Source organism: Homo sapiens, chromosome 10, assembly GCF_000001405.40.
Source record: "Homo sapiens chromosome 10, GRCh38.p14 Primary Assembly".
Lineage (NCBI taxonomy): Eukaryota > Metazoa > Chordata > Mammalia > Primates > Hominidae > Homo > Homo sapiens.
The window spans coordinates 107376400-107399456 of NC_000010.11; the positions used below are offsets into that span (position 1 = coordinate 107376400).

General features: G+C 37.5%; 1 long non-coding RNA gene across 3 annotated transcripts in view; it reads left to right on the plus strand.

Moving 5' to 3' along the window:
• LOC105378474 (uncharacterized) overlaps positions 1 to 23057 on the plus strand; it is a 37010-nt gene that overhangs the window by 8573 nt on the left and 5380 nt on the right. The window contains exons 1-3 of one of the 3 annotated variants that reach the window (XR_946302.1): positions 172 to 352; positions 3197 to 3320; positions 11889 to 12005. This is a non-coding gene — a long non-coding RNA (uncharacterized LOC105378474). Of the gene's footprint in view, positions 1 to 171; positions 353 to 3196; positions 3321 to 11888; positions 12006 to 23057 lie in introns of those variants that run through there. The other 2 variants (XR_946301.1, XR_946303.1) reach the window with 2 other exon arrangements.

A 23057-nucleotide genomic window follows, 5' to 3' on the forward strand; every position in this document is an offset into this window, starting at 1 on the left:
TCAATGAACTCGTTATTGTTCGTCCTCGTGGAAACATTTCCCCCCCCCGGAATTAAGACCCTTAGAGCATAAAGCCTTGAGAACACAGAGTGTAAATTGTGTTATTGAGTCACTAGGGGTAATAGTGTGTTGCCACCCCCATTATCACCCCTTGATTCCTGGACTCATGAATCCTGGACATGGAAGAAACAGCACCATAAATTGGATGCTGATTCAGAGCATATACAGCCTTCTGCAGAACTTTGCCCCAGCCCTGAAATATGTTGCCAACTAGCTAGTGCTGTAACTGAAGCTCCAAAAGGCCATTCCACTGTACTATCAAACCAGCTGCTTCAGGATGGTGAAGAACATGGTAAGACATGAATTTCATTAGCATGAGATTACCATGCCTCTTTTGTGGTGAAGTGAGTTCCTTCATCAGAAACAATATGTGTGGAATATCACAATGGTTAGAAGGGCATTATATATGTTCACTGATGGTAGTTTTTGCAGAAACGTTGCATGCAGTGAAGGCAAGTCTATAACTAGAGTGTCTATTTCAGCAAGAACAAAACACTGTTGCTTTCATGATGGAAGTGGTCCAATGTAATCAGCCTGCCACCAGGTAGCTGGCTCATCACCCAAGGGACTGTTACCATATTAGGGCTCAGTGTTGGTTTCTGCTACTAGCAGTCTTGGCACTCAGTAGTGGCTGTAACCAGGTTGGCTTTGGTGAGTGGAAGTCCATTTTGCTGAGCCCATGCATTACCTTCATCCCTGCCACCAGGGCCATTTTTTTAATAAGCCAACTGGGTGATGACAGGGTTGTCTGGGGAAAGAGACCAACTGGTATCCATGGAATGGGTCATTCTGTCCATTTGATTATTGAAGTCCTCTTCTACTGAGCTCACCCTTGGTGAGCATTCACATGGGATACAACTTTCACATTTTTTGTTCACTTGGTGATATCTCTCTACCTAAACCTTCCCCAAATTTGTCACCAATATTTCAATCATGTTTTCCCAAATATCTGACCATTCAGCTAAACCATTGGCCACAATTCATACTTCAAAATATAATCACAAATCTGGCCATTTCTCCTTCCAAGAAAAGTATGAAGCCAGTGAACTGTTGAAAGTTTTGCCTACTTGGAAGATTCTCCTTTCCCAATGTCCTCAAGGATGTCCCAGAGAGGGACTCTAGTGCTGCAACTGTCCACATTTAGGTAGTGCCTGTGTATCGTGAGGACCATGAATACTACCATCTGTAAACCAGGCCTTAGTCTTATCTTCCTCTGTTAACTGATCATAGAGAGTTACCCATAAGGCCATAAGTGTAGGTTGGGAGAGAGAAGACAGTATGGCAGGAGCAAGAACCATGGGCATTAGAGACACTTCTTCATGTAACTTACTTCAACTTCAGGGTCTGCTTTGGGCTGAATGTGTATATATTATTTCCATCTAATAATGAAGTGTTGCTATGCAAGCTCAGATTTATGACTTGGTGGGTTAGATAACACCCAGTTTATGATGGGCAGCTTGGGTCGTATAGTAGTTTAGTGGACTATGGTCAAACATTTAGTTTCCACTAAGGCCCAGTAATAGGCCAAGAACTGTCTCTCAAAAAGAGAGCAGTTATCTGTAGATGATGGCAGGGCCTTGCTCTAATATCCTAAAGGATCATGCTGTGATTCATCTATAGGGGCAGGCCAAATGCTCCAATTGGTGTCTTTCTCTGCCTCTGACACTTCAGGCACCACTGAATTTGCTGAATCACATGGCTCAAGAGGCAGAGCACATTGCAGAGCAGCCTGAAGCTATTGCAGAGCCTTATTTTGTTCTTGGGCCCACTTATAATGAGCAGCTTTTCAGGTCACTTAGTAAAGAGTCCAAAGTAATACACCCAAATGAGAATATGTTGTCTCCAAAATCCAAAAGGCCCAGTAGGTACTGTGCCTCTTTCTTGATTGAGGGAAAAGCCCGATGGAACAACATATTTTTCACCTTGAAAGGGATGTCATGACATTCCTCACACCACTGGACCGTTAGAGGTTTTGCTGAGGTAGAAGGCCCCTGGATTTCAATTGAATTTATTTTCTACCCTCTGACATGCAACTATCTTACCAATAAGTCTAGAGTAGTTGTTACTTCTCTCTTACTGGGTTCAATCAGCATATCATTCATGCTACATCTTGTAGGAAAAAAGGATGATCAAGAACCCTGCAAAAGAAATTCTGACATAGACCTGGAGAATTTATAGATCCCTGAGGTAGGACAGTAAAGGTGTATTGTGGGTCTTGCCAGCTGAATGCAGACTGCTTGTAGTGTACCTTATGGACAGGGTAGGAAAATGGAATTTTCCAGATCAATAGCTGTATACAAGGTGCTAGAATATGTGATAATTTGTGCAAGCAATGAAACCACATCTAGTACAGCAGTTGCAATTGGAGTCACCACTTAATTAAGCTTGTAACAATCCACTGTCATTCTCCAAAATCCATCTGTTCTTTGTACAGGCAAAATAGGAAATTGAGCACGGATGTGGTGGGATCACCAACCCTGCATCTTTCAAATTCTGCACCAGTCTCTACAGTCCCCCCAGGAATGCATCACTGCTTCTGATTTACTATTTTCTTAGGTAGAGGAAGTTCTAATGGCTCCCACTTGGCCTTTGTCACTACAATAGCCCTTACTTTGCAGTTCAGGGAACCAATACAGGGTTTCTACCAGCTGCTAAATATGTCTATTCTAGTTATGCCTTAAAGACTGGGGAAATAACCACAGGATGCATTTGGGAACTCACTGGGCCCACGGTGAGATGGTCCTGATCAAAAATTGTATTGATCATATGACCTCTATAAGCTCCAGCTCTGGATGAAGGGTCATGGTGATGTTTTAGATGTTCCGGAGTCATGTCAGAGCCAGTGTCCAGTAGTCCTTAAAAGTTATGTTTACTTCCTTTACTCCAATTCCTAGTTACCCTGTTTAAAAGGCTGTAGGTACCTTTGGGGAAGGTTGGGAGAAATATTAACAGTTTAAAATAAGTTTTTGTTAGTGTACCAGCGTTCTTCCTTGAGAGAGAATAGCCTTGCTTTCACTCAAGGGGTTCTGGGTCTGTAAATGCCTTAGGGCTTAGAATTGACTGAGAGGCTTTGACTTTGTTTATATGATTTGAGTTAGACTTTTGTTCACTTGAACAAGAACTTTTCTGCTTACAGGTCAAGTAAAAATTGAGTGGGCTTCCTATCTATTTCACTTCGAGAAACACCAGGATTAACTAGCCAACACCATAGGTCTGCATGAGTCAGATTATTCTGATTGCTGCATTGAATCTGCTGTCCGGTAAGGAAACTATGCCCAACTTTCTTTTGCTGGTTGGGTGCCTCTGCTTGGCCCCTGTCACTCTGGGATCCAATTATGCCTATTGTATTTAGGTTTTCCAGTTGAGTGGCTGCAGTTCTTACTGTGAGGTCTCATACAGAGAAGAACATTCATGGACTACTTCAAGGATGCTAGGGCTCCTTTCACAAATTTATATCTCAAAATTTCAGTGAAAGCCATGTCTTCTGGAACCTCCTAGTGTGGGAGAGTAGGTCTTATATGACAAATCTACTCTAATTTTCCAATCTCTCTAAGCCTTAGTATCCCTTCCTCTACATTAAACCAAGAAAGGTTAAGTGTCTTTAATTCATTCACTGTGAGCCATATTTTGATCCATGTTTCAGCCAACTAACCAGCCAAACTGTTAGAGCCCTTTTTAACTCTCTGAGCTGTAATGCTAAATGAAAAATCTTTGTTTAGTGGGCCCATGTCAATAAACTTGGTTTGATCCAACTTTAGGCTCCTTCTACTATTATTATATACCCTTAATATTATCCCCATGCATGTTCCCTAGATTTCTGCTTGTATAAGTTAGAAAATTCAAGTTGTTATTTTGGATTATGGCATACCTCATTAGAGGTCATACATTGTACCTCACCTTTAGGGGCCTGCTAGGGTCTAGATATAGGTCTAGATGCAAAGATGGGTGTTGGGAGTGGGCCAGGAGTATAATCAGCATTGCCTTGCATGGAAACTGCTTTAGGGGAGGCCATTACCATTTTTTCAGTCAATGAAGGGTTAATCCCCTCAAATAAATGTGGAAAGACCAGTGTGGGTGGCCACTTCCTCTGGCAAAAAAAAAAAAAGACTATGTCCTTCTGTTTTCCTATTTTCTTCCTTAGATTATATCCTACTAGAAAGCACAACTATATCTGCCTCACTCACCCCTGAATTCCAGTAGGAATTGGCTTGCATGATTATGAAAGCCAGAAAGTTCCACAATTTGCTGCCTGTAATCTGGAGAACCAGAAAGGTTAATGGTGTTACTCACTCTGAGTCCCAAGGCCCAGGAAACAGAAGCAAGGATGTCTGAGGACAGAAGAAGATGAATATCTCACTTCAAGCAGAAAAAGAATGAATTAACCCTTCCTCTACCATTTTGTTCTATTCAGGCCCTCAATAGATGGCCTCTGCATTGTTGAGGGTGACTTTTTTACCCAGTCTACCAATTCAAATGCTCTTCTTTTCCAGAAACATCCTTATAGACACACCCATAAATAATGTATTACCAGCTTTCTGGGAAAATCTTAGTCCAGTCAAGTTCACACATAAAATTAACCATCACACAAACATATAAAGAATACCTTTGTAAAGAATAGAAGGCATTACTAAACTTACCACTTTGACACTTAGATTGAGAATATCTGTATATGCCTTTCTGTGTACTCAGAAGTAACTATTATAGTGATCTTGGCATTTTCATTACCTTCTATTGTTTCCTTACAGATGTCTAAGGAAATAAATTATTGTTTTGGCATATTTTTAAAATGATATGATAATGAATGTTATACATTCATTAAATTGCATTTTTCTGTATTCATATGCAACTTGCCTTTTGCAGTCAACATTATGTTAGGAAATAAAATCATGTTGATATATATGTCTATTCTGGATGCTGTGGTACGCTGTTCAGATTTCCTTTTCAGGATCCTCAGAACGGAGCTACTCATTCCTTCAGCAGCTGGCTGTTTTGGCTGCTGATCACTCTCTGCTGAGACCCTTTCCAGGCCTTTCCTTCCAGATTCCCTTAGCTAAAGGGATCTGCCTTGTTCCACGTTACACCTCCCCAGTAGCAACTGTCCAATGACTGGTGGGTGAAATTACAAATATATAACCCCCTTTCCTGATTTTGGATGACTTTGAAAAGTTATCCCTATTTCAGAGCTCCACGTAGGATGAGCTGAGCTCTTTGCTCTGACTGCATCGCCGTAAACATCTCCTGCCCAGTCCTACCTCCTTTATTCCTTCATAGGTGTTGTTCCCAAAAGCAATCACTCATAAATTTTCTTGGTACAATGTCCGAGTCAGAGACTGTTTTCTGGGAACTTGGCCTCAGACAATGCTTTCTACATAAGTTGTTTTTACTGCTGAATAGCATTCTATTGTATAACCATATTACAATTTATTTATCCATTCAACTATTGATGGGAATCAAGATTGCTTTTAAGATATTTAATACTTATAGATCTTTCTGTGTGCATATTTGAGCAGAATTAGTTAAGAGTAACCCTACAAACGTATTTGTTGAGTTATAACTTTTCTATCCTAACTTTGAAAGGAACTATGAGGAAACTCCAAAATTATAAAATTTGCATTACTCTGAATCTTCATATCAAAAACTTCCGTTTTCCAAAGTAGCTCTTGATATTTTGGGCACTGACTTCTATCAGAGGATATTCTTTCCTGTCAAACTTGCCTTAGCATTGCTTCTCAATGCTCTTAAAAAATCTTTGATGTCTACTCAAGGACAAGGGCCCTGTTCCTCCTGGATCCAATAGGATTCCTATTCTTTTACTACAGTTGTGTGATCTGAAGTTATTATAGTTTCCCAGTGTCCAACATGTAAGAATTCCTGTTTCTTAACTTTCAACTGTTCAGAGCTTTTTCATTTTACACACAAGTTCTAACATAATTGAATTCTGCCTTTAAGATAAAAATAGATTGTGTTTATCTAAATACTATCTATGTTAACATAACTTTTGGGGATCTAATTCATATGCTCCTATTCCTCCTGTGTTTTGACATCTGTAATATCCTGTTCGGGGGATCATAACACCTCAAGCAATAACATTGCTGTTTAGATTATCTGATTCATGTAACAAGCTGGGCTTCAACTTAGGTATGCTTATCTTTGAGTTATTCATATTCTAATGTTTACAATACAGTTTATTAAAAACAATTTGAACTCCATAGTAGTCAGGTTATCCTTGAAAGAAAAACATATGTTAATTGATCATTTAAGAATTTACTGCCTAAAACAGAGCCTTCTGTCTCAGAGCTGACATTATTACTGACATTTTTTTCTTTATTAACAGTTAATTTTGTCTCCAGCATTCTTGTACGAATGGGTAATTCCTACAAATAAAGTAGGAATTTATAGAGTTTGAAAAAATGTTTATTGTACATTTACATTTCTATGTATTTATGCTAGCTTTCGAATAAGACTTTAACTTTGCTTGTAATTTTGTGTGAAATTTAAATCAATGTAAATGTGAATTAAACAAGCCATTTCCTTTATATATGACTTCACTGAGACCCAGAGTGTAGAAACCTCTTTTCCTGTTTCACTAGGGATGTAGTAGATGTAGGAATAGGACTCAATTCCACTTTCTTGTGTCCCATAGTAACTCTTCTGACTTTCTCTTCCACTTAAATATAACAAGAAATCCTGTGATCCCTAGAATGAAATCATTTTACTTCATAATATGGAGGCCAAGACTATCCAGTTTTTGCTCTTGTTGGGTTCCTTCCTTGCCTGGGATGTCTCTGCTCTGTATTTGTGACTGTCTCACATGAGATGGAAGCTCTTGCATACAGAAATAGCTTTTTGTACTATATGGATAAAGAGCAAAATGTAAAAAAAACTCTGCAGTTTTCATTAACTTATATTACGGAAACACTTATATAACATTTTGTTAAATATGCTTTTTCTAAGGAGAAATAATCAGACATATCGATTATGGAATAAGAAAAACAAAAATAAAAAAGCTTTCAACAACTCATGATCAGGAAATAGGACATACAGAATACACTTCATTTTTCTGACTCCAGGGAAAGCTCTTACTGTGACATCAACCTCTAAATATTTTGATTGAGCTGTCAGTGTAGAGTGTTGTAGTAAAGTTAACATTTCAGAAACAGATAATCTAGAGTCTTTATGCCAATTTTACCATGGATGAGCTACGTGATCTTAGACAAGTCACCTTAGCTCTCTAATTATTAGGTTCTTTTACTGGAAAACAGGGAAACATACCATTTACTTTAAAATGCCTGGTTAGGATTAATGACAATATATAAAAATAAGTTAGCCCAATGCCTGGCTCATAAAAATGCATTGATAAATGAGAAATATACCTAAAATGAATTATGTGAATATAATTATTTTAATTATTTCTATGCATATTATAATTCTTGAAACTCAAGTACAAGCAAATATTCTCTCTTCATTTTTTTTTTTTAGATAGAGTCTCGCTCATGTCACCCAGGCTGGAGTGCAGTGGCGCAATCTTGGATGACTGCAACTCCTCTCTTGGGTTCAAGTGATTCTCCTGCCTCAGCCTCCCAAGTAGCTGGGATTACAAGTGTGCACCACCATGCCCGGTAATTTTTTTGTATTTTTAGTAGAGATGAGGTTTCACCATGTTGGTCAGGCTGGTCTTGAACTCCTGACCTCAGGTGATCCACTCACCTCGGTCTCCCAAAGTGCTGGGATTACAGGCGTGAGCCACCATGCCCAGCCTAATATTCTCTACTCTTAAAACCTGTAGTGCAAGGGGCCATTTCTCACCTTGAGAAAAGGGATTCAATGGACTGAAAGAGAGACATATCCCATGTAAGCAAGAAATAATGAATGTGCAGTCCCCCTGGGAACACTGAAGGGAAGCACTCACATGGTATTGTCAACAGAAGCCAGTGTTTGACTAGGGAGAGTTCAGAAGCAGTATCCAACTTCCTCTCAGGGTGACTCCTACCTTTCCTGAATCAAAGCAGCAACCTGACCTGCTAGGACCACCAACACTTCTCCTGTAATCACACTGATGCCCACAGGGCTCCACAGAAACATCTTCCACACATTCCTCCCTGCTTCAGTGTCTATATAAATACCTGGATCCTCTCACTGGCCACACTTAAGAGTCTTTGTACATGGATGCTTTTCCTGTTTTTCCTCTTTTTTCACTTCATTGCCTTTGCCTCACCTTTCCCCGCCTTCACAATTGCACCTAGGGTATACATACTATGTAGAGACATAGCAGGAAATCAGGAAACCCCGAAGTGAACATAAACTCAGCCAAGAAAATCACTAGGGACTGACAGCAGTGACAAGGCAGAATTTGCTCACATTCAGGAATGATATATTCATTTCCCACCTTGCCTGCCCCTGCTGTGATTTTTCTGGGGCACAATTCACAGCCCTGAGAAGGGAGATGCTGTTTTCAACTTACAGGAACCCACGGACTGCTCTCTTCCACAGACTCCTTGGCTGTCTCCTGGCCCTCAGTTTGGAGCAGATGGAGAGCCTGGGGTATTTCTGCATATTTGCTATGTGAGGTCCTCACCTACTGAGAGCTTCTCTCCCATCCCCACCATTTCCTCCCACTCTTTAGAAACAAGACAACTGCCTTAAGACCCAATCATTTTGTTTTCAGAAAATTTTGCCGCTTCACACACTACTGCCTAATTAATGTTTCCGTAAAGGGCACTGAACTTGGTTTAGGGTATCTGGGATGGAACTAGGCTGTCGCTCACTTGCTCCATAATGTTGGGAAAGTTATTCAGCCTCTCTGATCCTCCATCTTCTGACTGTTGAAACACAGATAAGCTCTCACCCAAATGGTAGTTGGGAGGGGTATGAATGATGTATATGAAGATGCCTTATATATAAGAATTGCTTCCTGAAAATTAGCCAAAGTTAATATCATGTCATTCTTCTGCTCAAGAGCCAATAGTGGCTCCTTATTCCTTAAAGGTATGGGCCCAAATTCATTTGCCTTCTGTCTTCTTACACAGGTATCTGCAACCCCAGATTGTTCTTATGTGGCTGTGGCTCTGTTTCCCCTTTCATGTTTCTCAAGTGTATATAAATAATATACATATTACTTTCCATTGGCTGATCACCTTTTTCTGTCTTGCATGCACAATGAGCTCCCTTTCCCCTCATTACGTTGACTGAGATTCTCCCTACAGGTCTCACCTTCCCATATGTTTATTGATAAAAAATGTTACACAGCCACAGAATCTGATCACTTCCGTAGGTGGATGTTTTGCAGATTTAATCACCAACTTTGCATTTACTCATCTACTCGTTCAGTAAATAACCCCAAGAACGCTGTGCCAGACACACTGTTTGGAATTCAGGGATGAATAAGGCAGATAGAGTTGTGCTCTCAAGTAGTACATAATCAGAGGAAGAAAATAGAAAAAATGGACATAGAGAAAATTGCTTACCTTGACAGCAAGCACTGGCTTCTCTCTTGATGAGAGACTGATTTGTTGAGTCATTTAAGTTAAAACCTATGTGTAGAAGGCAATGCTCTGAGTATCTGATGCTAAATGTTGGTAACCTAAATTTATAAAGGAAACAGATTTGAGTTTCCAGGGCAGCCTTGAAGGGAGAGGATGAGGAGCAGACATGGTACAGAGATGCAGACACCCTTTTCTGTACATGCAGTCCCCTTCCTCTGATTTCTCCCAAAATATGTAGGGAAGTATATTTTACTGTAAAATGTGGGTAGTGAATGCTATTACCTTGGATGCTTATGCTGCTGGTCTGAGGACCATACTTTGAGAAGCACTATTTTCTGAAGGAGCACAAGACTGTTTCTAAAAGGGTGAGCCATAATAAGACTTGGGAAGACCATCAAGATAGGAGACAGAGCTGGCTTCAGCAAATTTGTGAAATTAGCTGAGTTTTTTTTTTGGTTCCCTAAGGTTTCTATAATCATTATTGCACTAATAATTGTTCAGTACCCTATATTTGTTCGCTGAAGTTCCAGAAGTAGCATAGGACCAAAATTTATGATTTCAACATGGCATCTTCCAAAGTTTCCATGGCCCCTGTGATTTGCTTTTCACCATTGGCAAGTGCAAAATATCTCATAATTATGTTCCCATCCAGTCTTTAAGATTTGATCCAAATTTCCATGACACCTCTCTAAGGATTATTTGTGTTTAACACAAATACATCTGAGATATTGAGATAGAGATTGGAGAGAGATATTTCAAGGAATGGGATCTAGGTGGCAAAGGATTCAGGCCATACAGACAACCACTTACTAACAACTTCTGTCCACTGAGACTCACGCATGTTATTACTCAGCACGAGGTCCACCTGTTAGTGAAATATACTTTTCTTTTATGACAAGCCATACCTGATATGCTTGCATACACACAGACTCATACCACATACACTCACACAAATTAACACACACATAGTCACGCACATTCATACTCCGCAAGAAACAAAGCCAAAAATTAATCCTGCTTCTTCTTTTGGTTGATTCTGCCCGATTTGTGCCAGGGGAGATCAGGTCTAAATATATATAAACACCAGAGCTTCTCAGTTCAATTAAATGTCCCTTGCACACCTTAATTTGAGAGGAAATTACTGTAAATATTTTATTTAAAATTTAATAATTTTATTTTGTTTTATTTTTATTAATATTTTGTTAAATAAAAACATATTTGTTAGATCTTGGATTGTAAGCATGTTAAAGCTAGAAAGTTAGCAATATTTAATAAAGTAATTGTAGGTTAAGAAACTATTGTCCAGTAAATAACTGTTTTAATTAAAACAGTTAAAAGATGTAAAAGATAACTTTTTAAGTAGGAATACAAAAAGGGTTTATTAAAAATTTTACTGGACCAAATGGATGTTTCAAGTTTTAGGAGACAGAAATACAGAAACCCTAAGTATATTTCATTTTATATGCCAAAAGTTTATTTTAAATAGCAGCAAATAGTGAAGTTGGGGAAAAGTCTGCTATGACTGGATTATCGCTAACATCCTTGGTGTAGCACTAACTTGGGTGTCAGTGCACACAAGGCTGGTGTCTGTACTTTTTCACTACCTTCTTCTACAATATCACCCTCAGCTTTAGCTGGGGATTAATATGTTTTTATATCTATCCTCATTGCTGCCACCCTAGGTAAAGCCATCATCCACTTCCGTTGGCACTAGTCTCATTTCCTTCTAGCTGGTGTCCTGTAGCTATTCTTGCACCCTGTAGCTCATTCTCCTCACTGGATTTAGAGTAACTGTTTCCAAACCCAAATACAACTGTAGGAGAATGAGCTCTTTAAAAAAACAAACAAACAAACAAACAACACTCAATGACTTCCCATAATTCCTTAGGACAAAAGTCTATATCTTTAATAAGCAATAACCTCTCCAATATTCAATATTGTTTTATCCCTGTCTCCTTTTGTATTTTGAAATTGCACAAAACCCTTGGGGATCCAAAAACTGGTCTTTTTTTCAGTGTCTAAGAGACCTTGTTCCAGCCTCCTGTGCAATGCTTGACCTTTGTAAACACCTCACCTGTGCCATGAATGCTTTTCACATATCATCCCCATCTACCCCTTTATCTATTATTTCCTCTTTATTCTTTAGATCTTTGTTCAGTCATTCCTTCCCAGGAGAAGCTTTCTCTGAGTCTCTTACCCAGGTCATATCCCCAATGGCACACTCTCAGAACACATGTAAAATACTGAATACAACTTTAATTTGACATCTTTATCCTCTGTTAGACTGTAGTCACTATCAATGCAAGCACATGTCTGTCCTCACCATTGAATCCCATTTGCTTCAAGGACGGGACACAGAAGGAATTGAATAAAGTCATGGAAAATGAAACTCAGGTTGGTCTTCTCACTGGCTTCTTAAAGGAATGAGCACATTGTGATCCTGCTCTGTATCGTGGAGAAAGACCCAAGGAAAGTTCCCATTTCCAGTTAAGCTCAGCCTAACCTCTCTTAATAGCTATTCCTAGTTCTGCCATTCATTAACTCAACTTATACTTTCCATAAACATGTGTAACAAGTATCTGTACTCCTGTTCTATGTGTAGGAGACTTCCCACCTCATAAGTATTGAAAGAAGGCAGAATTTACTTCCCAGTATGAAGTGAAGATGCTAGCTACTCCCTTTTCCAACTTCTCCTATAGCTAGGATGCAGGGATGTGATCTAGACTCTGCAAAACAAGTGCACTCATGTCTACTTTGATTTCAAAGCTAGTGAGGCAAAAAAAGGTAAAACACAAGAGGTGGTGGAGCTCATGTTGGTGAAGATGGCGGCAGGAAAAAAAAAAGCATATCCGAGATCCAGAAGCAGTAGTGGTAACAGTTCACTCACTCTTAGGTACCTGGGTACAGTGGTAACATCATGGGACATGTGGCATGACTTTGGCTATTTTTTTTTCTGTGTGGTGTGCAAGCATGGCTTTTCAGTTCTCTACGAAATGCATTGAACTACTCAATGTCTTAGTAAATTCACTTTCTGCTCAAATTAGGCAGAGTCAGTGTCTTGTAATTTCAGCAGAAAAATCTAACTCACTAGCCTCATACATATAGTCTGAAAAGAAAGATATGCAAGTAAATAGTCAATTACTATGTAATGTTACTCAAGGGTTTATTAAAACCTATTTACAAATGGTCCATATGTCTTGCCTATACCAGGTCCTAGGACATTCTAGATTCCCTACTTGCTTGCCAACAATATTTATGGGAAGCAGTAGTTCCCTGAAAAAGCACTCTCAACATGAAATAAGATTTCCTTTTATTTGCAACGCCTTGCCTCAGAAGGCACCTGCTGTTTCCTAGAGGTGAGAATTCAGTGGAAAAACATATATGTAGTCATATTGTTTGTCATAAAACCTCTGTGCTACAAGGGACTCTAAAAATCACCCCAACTAAACCCAGTTTTGAATTTCCTTTCCTTTTCTGCAATGCCCAAGTAGCCATTGCGCTTTGGCTTTGAATATCTATAGTGACAAGGAACTTGCAATACCACATCAAGGAAACTCTTTCATCGTTGAACAGTCCTAGATTTGAAAAGTTAGTTCTCAAATTAGCTCAAAATACATTTCTATCCACTTTGTTGATACAGAATAAATCTATTCCCTTTTCCTCAGTTTGCAATTTATATCATTTGTCATGTTATTTTCCTACATCTTCCTTTTCAGTCCATGTTAAAATAACAGTACAATGTAGAGCTTTGTTTGCTCCCAGTTAGGATGTAGAAAGTTATCAAAAGCCATCACTCCTTCTTTAACAATACAAAAGCCTGAATAAACGAAAACAAAATAACACCTTCTTTTAAAGCCATTAAAGAATCTCAGACACAAGGAACTTAAATAAACTAAATTTCAAAGAGGATCAGTCTATTCCTAGGTGAGCAAGGTCCATTGGCTGCTTTTGTGCTTGGAATTAGTTGCCTATTCTTTTTATGGGTAAGTGGGAGAGCAAACCTACAATATGTGAAGAGAGTTTTCCGGTACAAGGAGAAATCAGGAAATTTTTAATGACATTATGGGTTGTTAAGTACTATAACAGTGCAGACCCTTAAACATAAAATTATCGCTCCTCATGATTTTTATATCTTGTAGTGCTTCGATCTCAAAGGCCTGCTATAGAGAAGAATGGAACTCATCCTCAAAACATTCAAAAGTGAAGTTGAATTGAAACTAAATAAAGCTTCAGGTTGCCCTCTTCAGATTAGCAACTGATTAAAATTAAGTGATTAGCCCTTCCCCATAGCTGCCTGACATAGGAAAAAGCATGAGGTCTCTGGAAAAACAACATGTATATTGTCTACTTCAGTCTCTAATGTTTTATAACAGTATCTGCCATACAATAAAAAATAATATAGGATAAACAACAAAGCATAGAAATACAACCCATAATCAAGAGGCAAATTTCCCAATAAAGAAAAGAAAAATCAATAGAAACACTCAAAAACAACCTATGTATTAAAGTTACAGGCAAGGACCTTAAATGTATCACATATCTGTTAAAGAGTCTGAAGTGAAAAATAGACATGTGGGAGCATATGGGAAATTTTGATGAAAAAATGAAAATTCTCGGCAGGAAACATATAGACATTCCTGAATTTGAGTTATAAAAAACCCCAACATCTAAAATTAAAAATTCATTAGAAAAGATTAGCAGCAGAATGACACACAAGAGGAAAGATGGTTGAACTCCAGGATAGGTCAATCAAAATTATCTAAACTAAAAATCAAAGACAAAAATAAAATAAAATAAATTAAAAACAGACCATTAGATACCTGCAGGACAAAATTAAATGATTTAACTCCATAAATTAGAGTTGCACATGGAGATACATTGAAGATATAACGAAAAAAAGCATTCCAAAGTAAAGAATGACATCAGCCCACAGATCTAAGTACTCAGTAAGCCCCAAGCTAGAGAAATACAAAGAAGGTTACACCAAGGTAAATCAAAAATTTTTTTAAAAAATTGTAAAAGTGGCCATAGAAACAGAAATATATTACATTTCGGGGAACAAAAATAAAAATGCCATTTGATACTTTATTGGGAACAAAAGACAACAGGATTATTTCTTTAAGGTGATTTTAAAAACTTGACAATCTAGAATTCTATATACTGTTGAGAGAAAACAAAGCTGAAATAAAAATAACTTGATATAAATAACAGCTTAAAGAATTAGATGCCAGGAGACCCATATGACAAGAAATGCAAAAGGATATTCTTTAGGTAGAATAAAATCTGGGTAGATGAAAGCCAAACCTTTATGAAGTAATAAAAGGACCACAGTGGCAAATATGTAGTAAAACATCATTTTAAAAATTTATACTGACAGAGTGAGTGGCTACTTAAAGCCAAATGAAACTTCAAAGTATTACAGAGTTCACAACACATAAAGAAATACAAGGATTCTGCTTTCTCCATATGCTCACCAACATTTGTTATTATTTGTTTTTGATAGCAGTGATCCTGACAGATATAAAATGCTATCTCATGGTGGCTTTGAGTTGCATTTCCCTGATGTTTGTACATTGTTGGTGGGAATGCAAAAATCATGCAGCCTATATTTAAAATAGTATGGAGGTTCCTAAAAAATTAAAAAATAGAACCAACATATGATCCAACGTTCGCAATTCTGGGTATTTATCCAAAAGAACTGAAATTAGGAAACTGAAAAATTATGGAAGTTTTAGTAAGGTATAATTGACATCCAGAGATCTGCACATATTGAATATATACAATTTGACAAGTTTAGACATCTACAAACACCTGTGATACCATCACCAAAATCAAAGTAAAAGACATATCCAAGATAACCAAGTTTATGCTGTTTAAATGAAACACATTTGGAGCCTTATTTATCTCTTGCCTTGATGGTTTCACCTGTGTCCTACCATGTCTCAGTAGAACTCCTACACTCCTGTTGCTGCCAGATTACTTAATTTAGTCAATTCTTTCTCTTATTATTTACTTACAAATGCAAAAGGTATTGACCATCTACTATGTGCCAAGTACTGTGCTGGTCATGGGTTATACAAAGTGAAAACAAAAACAGAAGTCCATACGTTCAAGGAACTTAGAATCTGCTTAAAGGAAAGCCCCAAGACTCATTAGGCAGTGTGGTGGGAGGCTAAGAACCTGAACTCTGACATCGAAAAAATCTTAGTTCCACACACAGCCTATTATTAGCCGTGTGATGTGCCCAACTTATTTGCACCTCTATAAGCGTCAGCTTGCTCATTGTAAAGTTATTTACTTCATGTGAGGATAAATGAGATATTTAGTACAGTGTGATCTTGTAGGAAATACTTAATAAATATTAGCCATTGTTGTTAAGTCAAATAATAGAAGAGTATTCTGGGTATTGTGAAAGTACAGTGGCGGGGAAGATGGTAAGCAAGGAGAGTCAGTATTCAGCGCTTGGCAAAAGTCAGTTTCCACACTGCCGTTTTAATCTTGTCTTCTTTTTTATTTGAATTTTCTATTCCAGTCAGGTTGCTCAGCACACAACTTGTGCACTCTCCATAAGATATTTATTAAAACCTAGTTTCCTTGTCTGGAAGGTGAGGAAGGTGATAAAAATGTCTCTCTCAAAAGGTTGTCACAAGGATAAAGTGAGAGGATATAAAAGTTAAATTAAAAAACTATACAACTCTTTATTATCATTTCTTCTACTATGATCACTTTGCTCAAATGATCGGTTTTAACTGGAAATGACTATCTATTCTTGATTATTGAAATTCTAACAATTACTAAAATAAACAAACCAACCAACCCAAGCAACCAACCAAACAAACAAAAATAAGACAAAACTCCATTTTGTGTTTTCTAACATGGTTCGATTCAAGTTCTTCTACCCTTAAGAAACCCTTGTCCACCTCATCTCCTTTTTATTAGGTAAAAAATTTAAACCATTTTATTACATTGACAATATAATAATTTATGTGTGTATGTTTCATACCCCTTCTATAACAATTAAATTCACGGGCTGTAATGAAAGACTGGGTTCAAACCTCAAAGCTTTCTCTTAAAAGCCAGTTGATTTGAGCAAATTATTTCAGCTGTATTTGTCTCAGCTTTCTCATAAGGAAAACAAGCATACTAACAGTGCCTATTCCATAGGTATAATACAAAGACTAAATGAGTTAAAACAAATGGATTGTCTAGAACAATACCTCGCATATAGTTCACCCAATAAGTAATAAGCCACCCATATTATTATTGAAAAAAAAGACTGCCTTTTTCCTATAAAATGCCAACTGCTAGTCAGTTTCAAAATTATAACCCGTAAGATAATGGTTTCTACAGCCCAAACAATTCTCCAGCCTCTTATAACTTATTTCCTCCCCTGTTAATCCAGCAACAGTTCTTTAAGTTCTGGGAATTTCACTGTATCCTCCTAGATAATTCCCCTCCCCCACCACTTGGTCTAATGTGGATCATCTGAGACATGGTAGGATCCCGATGAAGCCATCCAGGCAGGAGATAGATAGAGCTCCAAGTGTGCTTTATTTAAGCAGCATAAACTTGGTTATGCTAGATATGTCTGTTCTCTTGATTTTAATGCTGGTATCACAGGTGTTTGCATATGTCTAAACTCATCAAATTGTATACATTAAATATGTGCCGTTCTTTTTATATCAATTATATCTCACTAAAACTCTCACGATTTTTCAGTTTCTTAATTTCAGTTCTTTTGGGTAAATATCCAGAAGTCTTATTTCTAGATCATTGTTGGTAGTGATTTTTGAAGGAAGCAAAAATAAATAAATAATAAATGGGGTTTTGATTAGTTCCTATCCTCAGTAAAATTATTCCACTTTGGACAAATACATCTAGCAGCCAATTGAAAAAATAATACTATTCTGTAATACTTTAAATAGCTATCATGATATTGCTTTTGTATCCCCATGGAAACCTTCAAAGATCTTTCAAATACCCGCCAAAAGAAATGAAGTGTAAATTTTAAGCTAACTTTCCACCTTTAGACTTTATAATCGCTACAGATTCCTCAATCCTGCTAAGAGTTAGTATCTACCTTGGCTTCTTCCTGGGAGTCAGAAGGGGCTGTGCTCCAGTCAGTGAACATTAGCGGGAATTACCTCAATTTCCACCGCCGCTGGACCTCACCAAGATGCTGTCTGTCAGGCCAGTAAACATTCCTGGCACCTTCTTCTGGCCCTAAGACTCCCCAGAGGAAAGCAAAACAAAACAGTCTTTCCCTCCTATCCTGTCTCTTATTCTACAGAACCAGTACCTTCATTGGTTAAGTTCCTACAGACTTTGACTAAGAAAAGTAATTTTCTTTAATGACCTTCAGCCCTTTCTCTCAGTCTGGGAGGCAATTTTGATGGGGTTACTCTGGTAGAGTAATTAAGCCAGATTTTCATCTGTCACTAAAATGTTGCCTTGGTATTTGGACTGATGTGTTTGGAATGGGTTTGGTTTCAAGCTGTGAACTTAAAATGCCCACAGGTTGCACTACCCAATTCTCTAAAAATAAATGTACCCTATATTAGTCCCACAACATTTTCCATTGTGTTAAAGTTCCCAGAGTTACCTTTGGTAGGTGTTGCAATCGTCACTCAAAAGGGTTTTGAAGCTTCTAACGTTAAAAAAGACAGAGACTCAATGGCAAAGTCTTTTTTAATTGGCCTCCCTCTTCCCCATCACTTCCAAAGAAAAGTAATAGTGCTGAAAGGATTTTTACATCAATAGAAAATTCTTCAAAGATTTCATACTGATTACACTTTACTCCTACCTAATTTTGAGGGGTAAGGTAGCTTATTTGTCTCCTGCAAACCAGCATATTATAACAAGAAGCAATTTTTCACTTTAAAAAGTAGTCATGGTGGCAGTAGTGGTGGAGAAGGAAGAGGAGAGCGAAGGAGAAACAGATATCGCTTTAAATATCTCCTGTTTAGATTTATTATTTTTTCCTGGGATAGTAAGAAAATTATTTTTGAGATTTCTGGGCATAATTGAATGAGTTAAGCCTTGAAGATGCCAAAGAAAATAGTTCTTATGGTATCTCATCTCTTTGTTTTCATATTGATTTGTTCATTCCTTAATTTAGTCACAAAATATTTTAAGTGCTAACTCTGACCCAAACTCTGTATAGGACCCTAGGAAAGAGTAGTAAATGATTTACCTGTCTTTCTCGTTCATGGTTTACCATTTAATTATATATATATAAACAAAACATTAACAAAATGATTACTTGTGATCTACATTAAAAAGGAAATAAACAAGATGCTATAAGAGAATATTGAGAAGCTTGGGTAGGAATATGGCAAATACCATCCAGTAGGAATGTTGGTTCATATCCCTTACTTGTACATCTCTGAAATAAACCATCCCTTCATGAAATTAGGAAATAAGTGTTGTTCCCTGTGAAGAGGTAGTAACTTAGCAGAATAGAATGTGTAGAGGAATGGCCAATAAAAGAGATGCAGAGCAGAAAACTTCCTGGCCTTCCTATATTCTTGAATGTAGTTAATAATGTCCCTGATCATGCTGATTCACTGGCAAGGTTTGGAGATTCACATTTTAAAATACCATATATATCTAGTTGTTGAACTGATTGCAGCTTCTAGTGCCTGAGAGACTTTCTGCTCTTCTCTTGCATCAAGAGGATAGGTAAAATGAGAATTTATCTCATGCCTTTCTTATGAAAGCCCATTTGAAGTAAAAGTTGTACATCAACTCTCAGATCAAAATGGCTACTTCTGCTTCTGAGTAATTTAAATAACCTGTCAAAATTGAGATTTCCCAAGTCCATTTTGTGTTCAGAATTTGCAGGTAAGCTCCTCAATATCCTGGCCTCTTATCTCAGTAAAAATATGCCCAGAATTTCTAGTACTTTCTTTCTTCATTAACCCCACAACTTTAATTACAACCAATTACCTAGCATTCCCTTCCTACTCGCAGTCATGGCTCTGTATGGTGTGGCAAAACGCTGTTCAAAATATATAGTTCTATTAAGCACCTGACATGTGCCAAGAATTGTGTTTTTTGTATGGAACGGATAGAGACAAACTAGAACCAGTTCCTATTCTTAAAAAATTCAAATGCGAGTGGGAATATAGACTCTCTAAAATATATTCTTAATGTTGTGTCGTATATTTACTATTTTTTTCTATTTGATTGTAAATTCTGTGTCCCTGAATTGTCATTCCTAATAGTACTGAACCCAGGAACCCTGTGCTCAATAATCGCATGTGTGGCCTATCCTCCTGTGAATTATGCTCTTCCCAGACACATGGAAGTACACCTTTCAGAGGCTGATGGTTATCATTCTTTCCTAAAGAATTGATTGTGCAACTGACATTCACTGAGGGCTTGATTCTCCTCGCCTCAGAGCTATAACCCAGTTACTTGTTGGATTCATTCCAATTCTCTTCCCTCATCCATTTTCCACTCTAGATTTTTATTTACCAATGCAGATAAAGGTTATGCTTTACAGAGCTCTTCTAGCTTTACAGTTAACTTCTCAAATCCATTTTCCTGTCACTGTTTGTTAATTCACCAACGTATTCCTTTTAAAAAGTAGAATAAAAAAATATGTTTATTTTCATCTTATTTTACAAGAATCTTTGTAGATTGCCCTTTGAGACTTGATTCATGGATCCAAGATCACCTGAGACGCAAAACTTTCCTGGACTTTCTGCTAATAATTCTTTGTGGCCTTTATATTATTTTATAGCGACTCTATGTCTGTGGTGGGACATATTAAAATAAACCAGGACATATTAAAATAAAAACAAAGTTGGATGAAGGCGCATAAACACATACAGCTGGAAGCATCCTCAGGGACTATTCCCCAAATCACTCATTTTATGGAGAAAAAACCCCTGAAACTCAGAGATTTAAGACATTGACTACAGCTACACAAAAACTCAGGGAAAAGTTTGACCAGATCTGCCTTCCCCTACTGTGAATCTCTAATTTGCTTTATACATCACCATATCAGGATTTAAATTTCCTTTGTGCCGTTTATGAGGTATTGTGTATAGAAGAATTGGGAAGAAGAAGAGGCGATGTTTAGTTTTGATTCTGTGGTTAAAATAGAAGAATCCAAGGAGGATCTGCGAAGTGTTTGAAGAATGAGATTCTGGATTTGTATGTTAAAAATAGAAACCATGGGCCAGGCTCAGTGGCTCACGCCTGTAATCCCAGCACTTTGGAAGGCCGAGGCGGGCGGATCACGAGATTAGAAGATCGAGACCATCCTGGCTAACATGGTGAAACCCCGTCTCTACTAAAAATACAAAAAGTTAGCCGGGCGTGGTTGCGGGTGCCTGTAGTCCCAGCTACTCTGGAGGCTGAGGCGGGAGAATGGCGTGAACCCAGGAGGCGGAGCTTGCAGTGAGCCGAGATCGTGCCACTGCCCTCCAGCCTGGGCGATAGAGCGAGACTCCGTCTCAAAAAAAGAAAAAAAAAAAAAAAAAAAGAAAGAAACCATGATGAAAATAACAACAGTAAATATTGTTTATCAAGACCTTATTTAAGCCAGTCATAGAGCTAAGTATTTAACACATATTACTTGACTTTCACAAAGCCCTATGTGGTAGGAATCTTTATTAGTCTCATTTCACTGAAGAGGAAACCAACACTGACAGAAAACGTGCCAAGAATTTCTCATCAAGCAAGTGGCACGACCTTGAACATGTTCTGAGTCTGAGCACCTGGTTGCTCAATGAGAGGAAGGGGAGAAAGAGAGCATGCGCATGGGCTTTCTGTTTTCAGCCATACAGAATCTAAATGGGTAATGAAATTTGACATCTTCCCAGTTAATCCTTGGTTATTCTGATGTGTCTCATTAACGGGAGATTTGCTGCAGAATGTCCCATTCTGTTAAAAAAAAATACAATAGTTTGACTCTCTTCTCCTTAGATCTCAGAATTAAAGAATATTTTAGAGTCATATAATTAGACAATCAGCCTCTATACAGCCCCTACTTAACTGTCTCTCAGATGTGGGTGTGTTTTCAAGTCTCAAAAGAAAGAATCTATTTTTTTTTTTTTGTCTAGACTTAAGCAAATATCCCCATTTAACTAAGGAAAAACTTAAAACATTAAATTACTTAGTAACATCTTTAACAGGTTCAGCATACATTCAGAAGGTAGAAAAATATATATTTCCTTCAAATGTTTACCATAATTGTGAATTGTTTGTATAATATTGATATATTCTCTTAATTTCTAAGATGGTAGAGGTGGTGTTTGTACTGGGTAAATGTCCAGCATTCTCTTCTGTTACATAAATACCTAAGTACTTTTCCATATGTCAAGCTCTGTGTTCCAAACAACTTTTAAAAATGCTTGCATTGCTAAAAATGAAAACAGGAATGAGGGCTACAGGTTACTAAAGCCATTTGAAGCAAAGACACAAGTATAGGCTATAGTTTCCATCTAGGAACTTGAAATACCATTGGTGATGAGTACAAACTCTGATATCTGATATCAAATGTATCTCATTCTGAATCCCAGTCAATAATTCCATTAAATTGAAATGATCTGAACATTCCAATCAAAGGAAAGAGATTATAGAACTTCATAAATAGTATTTCCCAACCATCCATTGTCTATAAAAATGGAGTTTAAAGATAAAGCCATAGAAAAAAAGTAAAAGGATGGAATGAAGATGTATAACATGCAATTTTTAATTATAAGAAAACTGGACTGGCTATATTAGTATCAGACAAAGTAGACTTTAGAAAAAGAAATGTTACTGGAGATAAAGAGGAATAATCTCATAATTATGAAAGGGTTAATTCATTAAGAAGATATAATTTTTCTAAATAGTATGCACCAAATAGAGCTTCAAAATACATAAACACTTGTATTTACCAAAAGTCTTATGCAAAAATATTTACAGCACCTTTATTTATGTATATACTTTTTGCTGAGCTGTAATCTTTTATTTCATGCTTGCAACTATAAATTTATTAAATCAATCACTAGTGCTACAACTACAGATGTATAGATATATTAACAACTTAAAATCGGTTTACTTTTTTTTTCACCTTTTTAGGTTCGGGAGTGCATATGCAGTTTTGTTATATAGGCAAAGTTTGTATCAAAGGGGCTTAGTGTACAGGTTGTTTTATTACCCAGGAAATAAGCACAGTACTAATAGGTAGTTTTTCAATCCTCACCCTCCTCCCACCCTCCACCCTCAAGTAGGCCCCACTGTCTGTTGTTCCCTTCTTTGTGTCCATATGTACTCAATGTTTAGCTTCCACTTATAAGTGAGAACGTGTGGTATTAAGTTTTCTCTTCCTGTGTTAGTTTGCTTAGGATAATGGCCTCCAGCTCCACCCATGTTTTTGCAACGGACATGATCTCATTCTTTTTTTGTGGCTGCATAGTATTCCATTTTCTTTATCCAGTGTACCATTGATGGGCATTTAGGTTGATTCCATGTCTTTGCTATTGTGAATAGTGCTTCAGTGAATGAATGCATGCATGA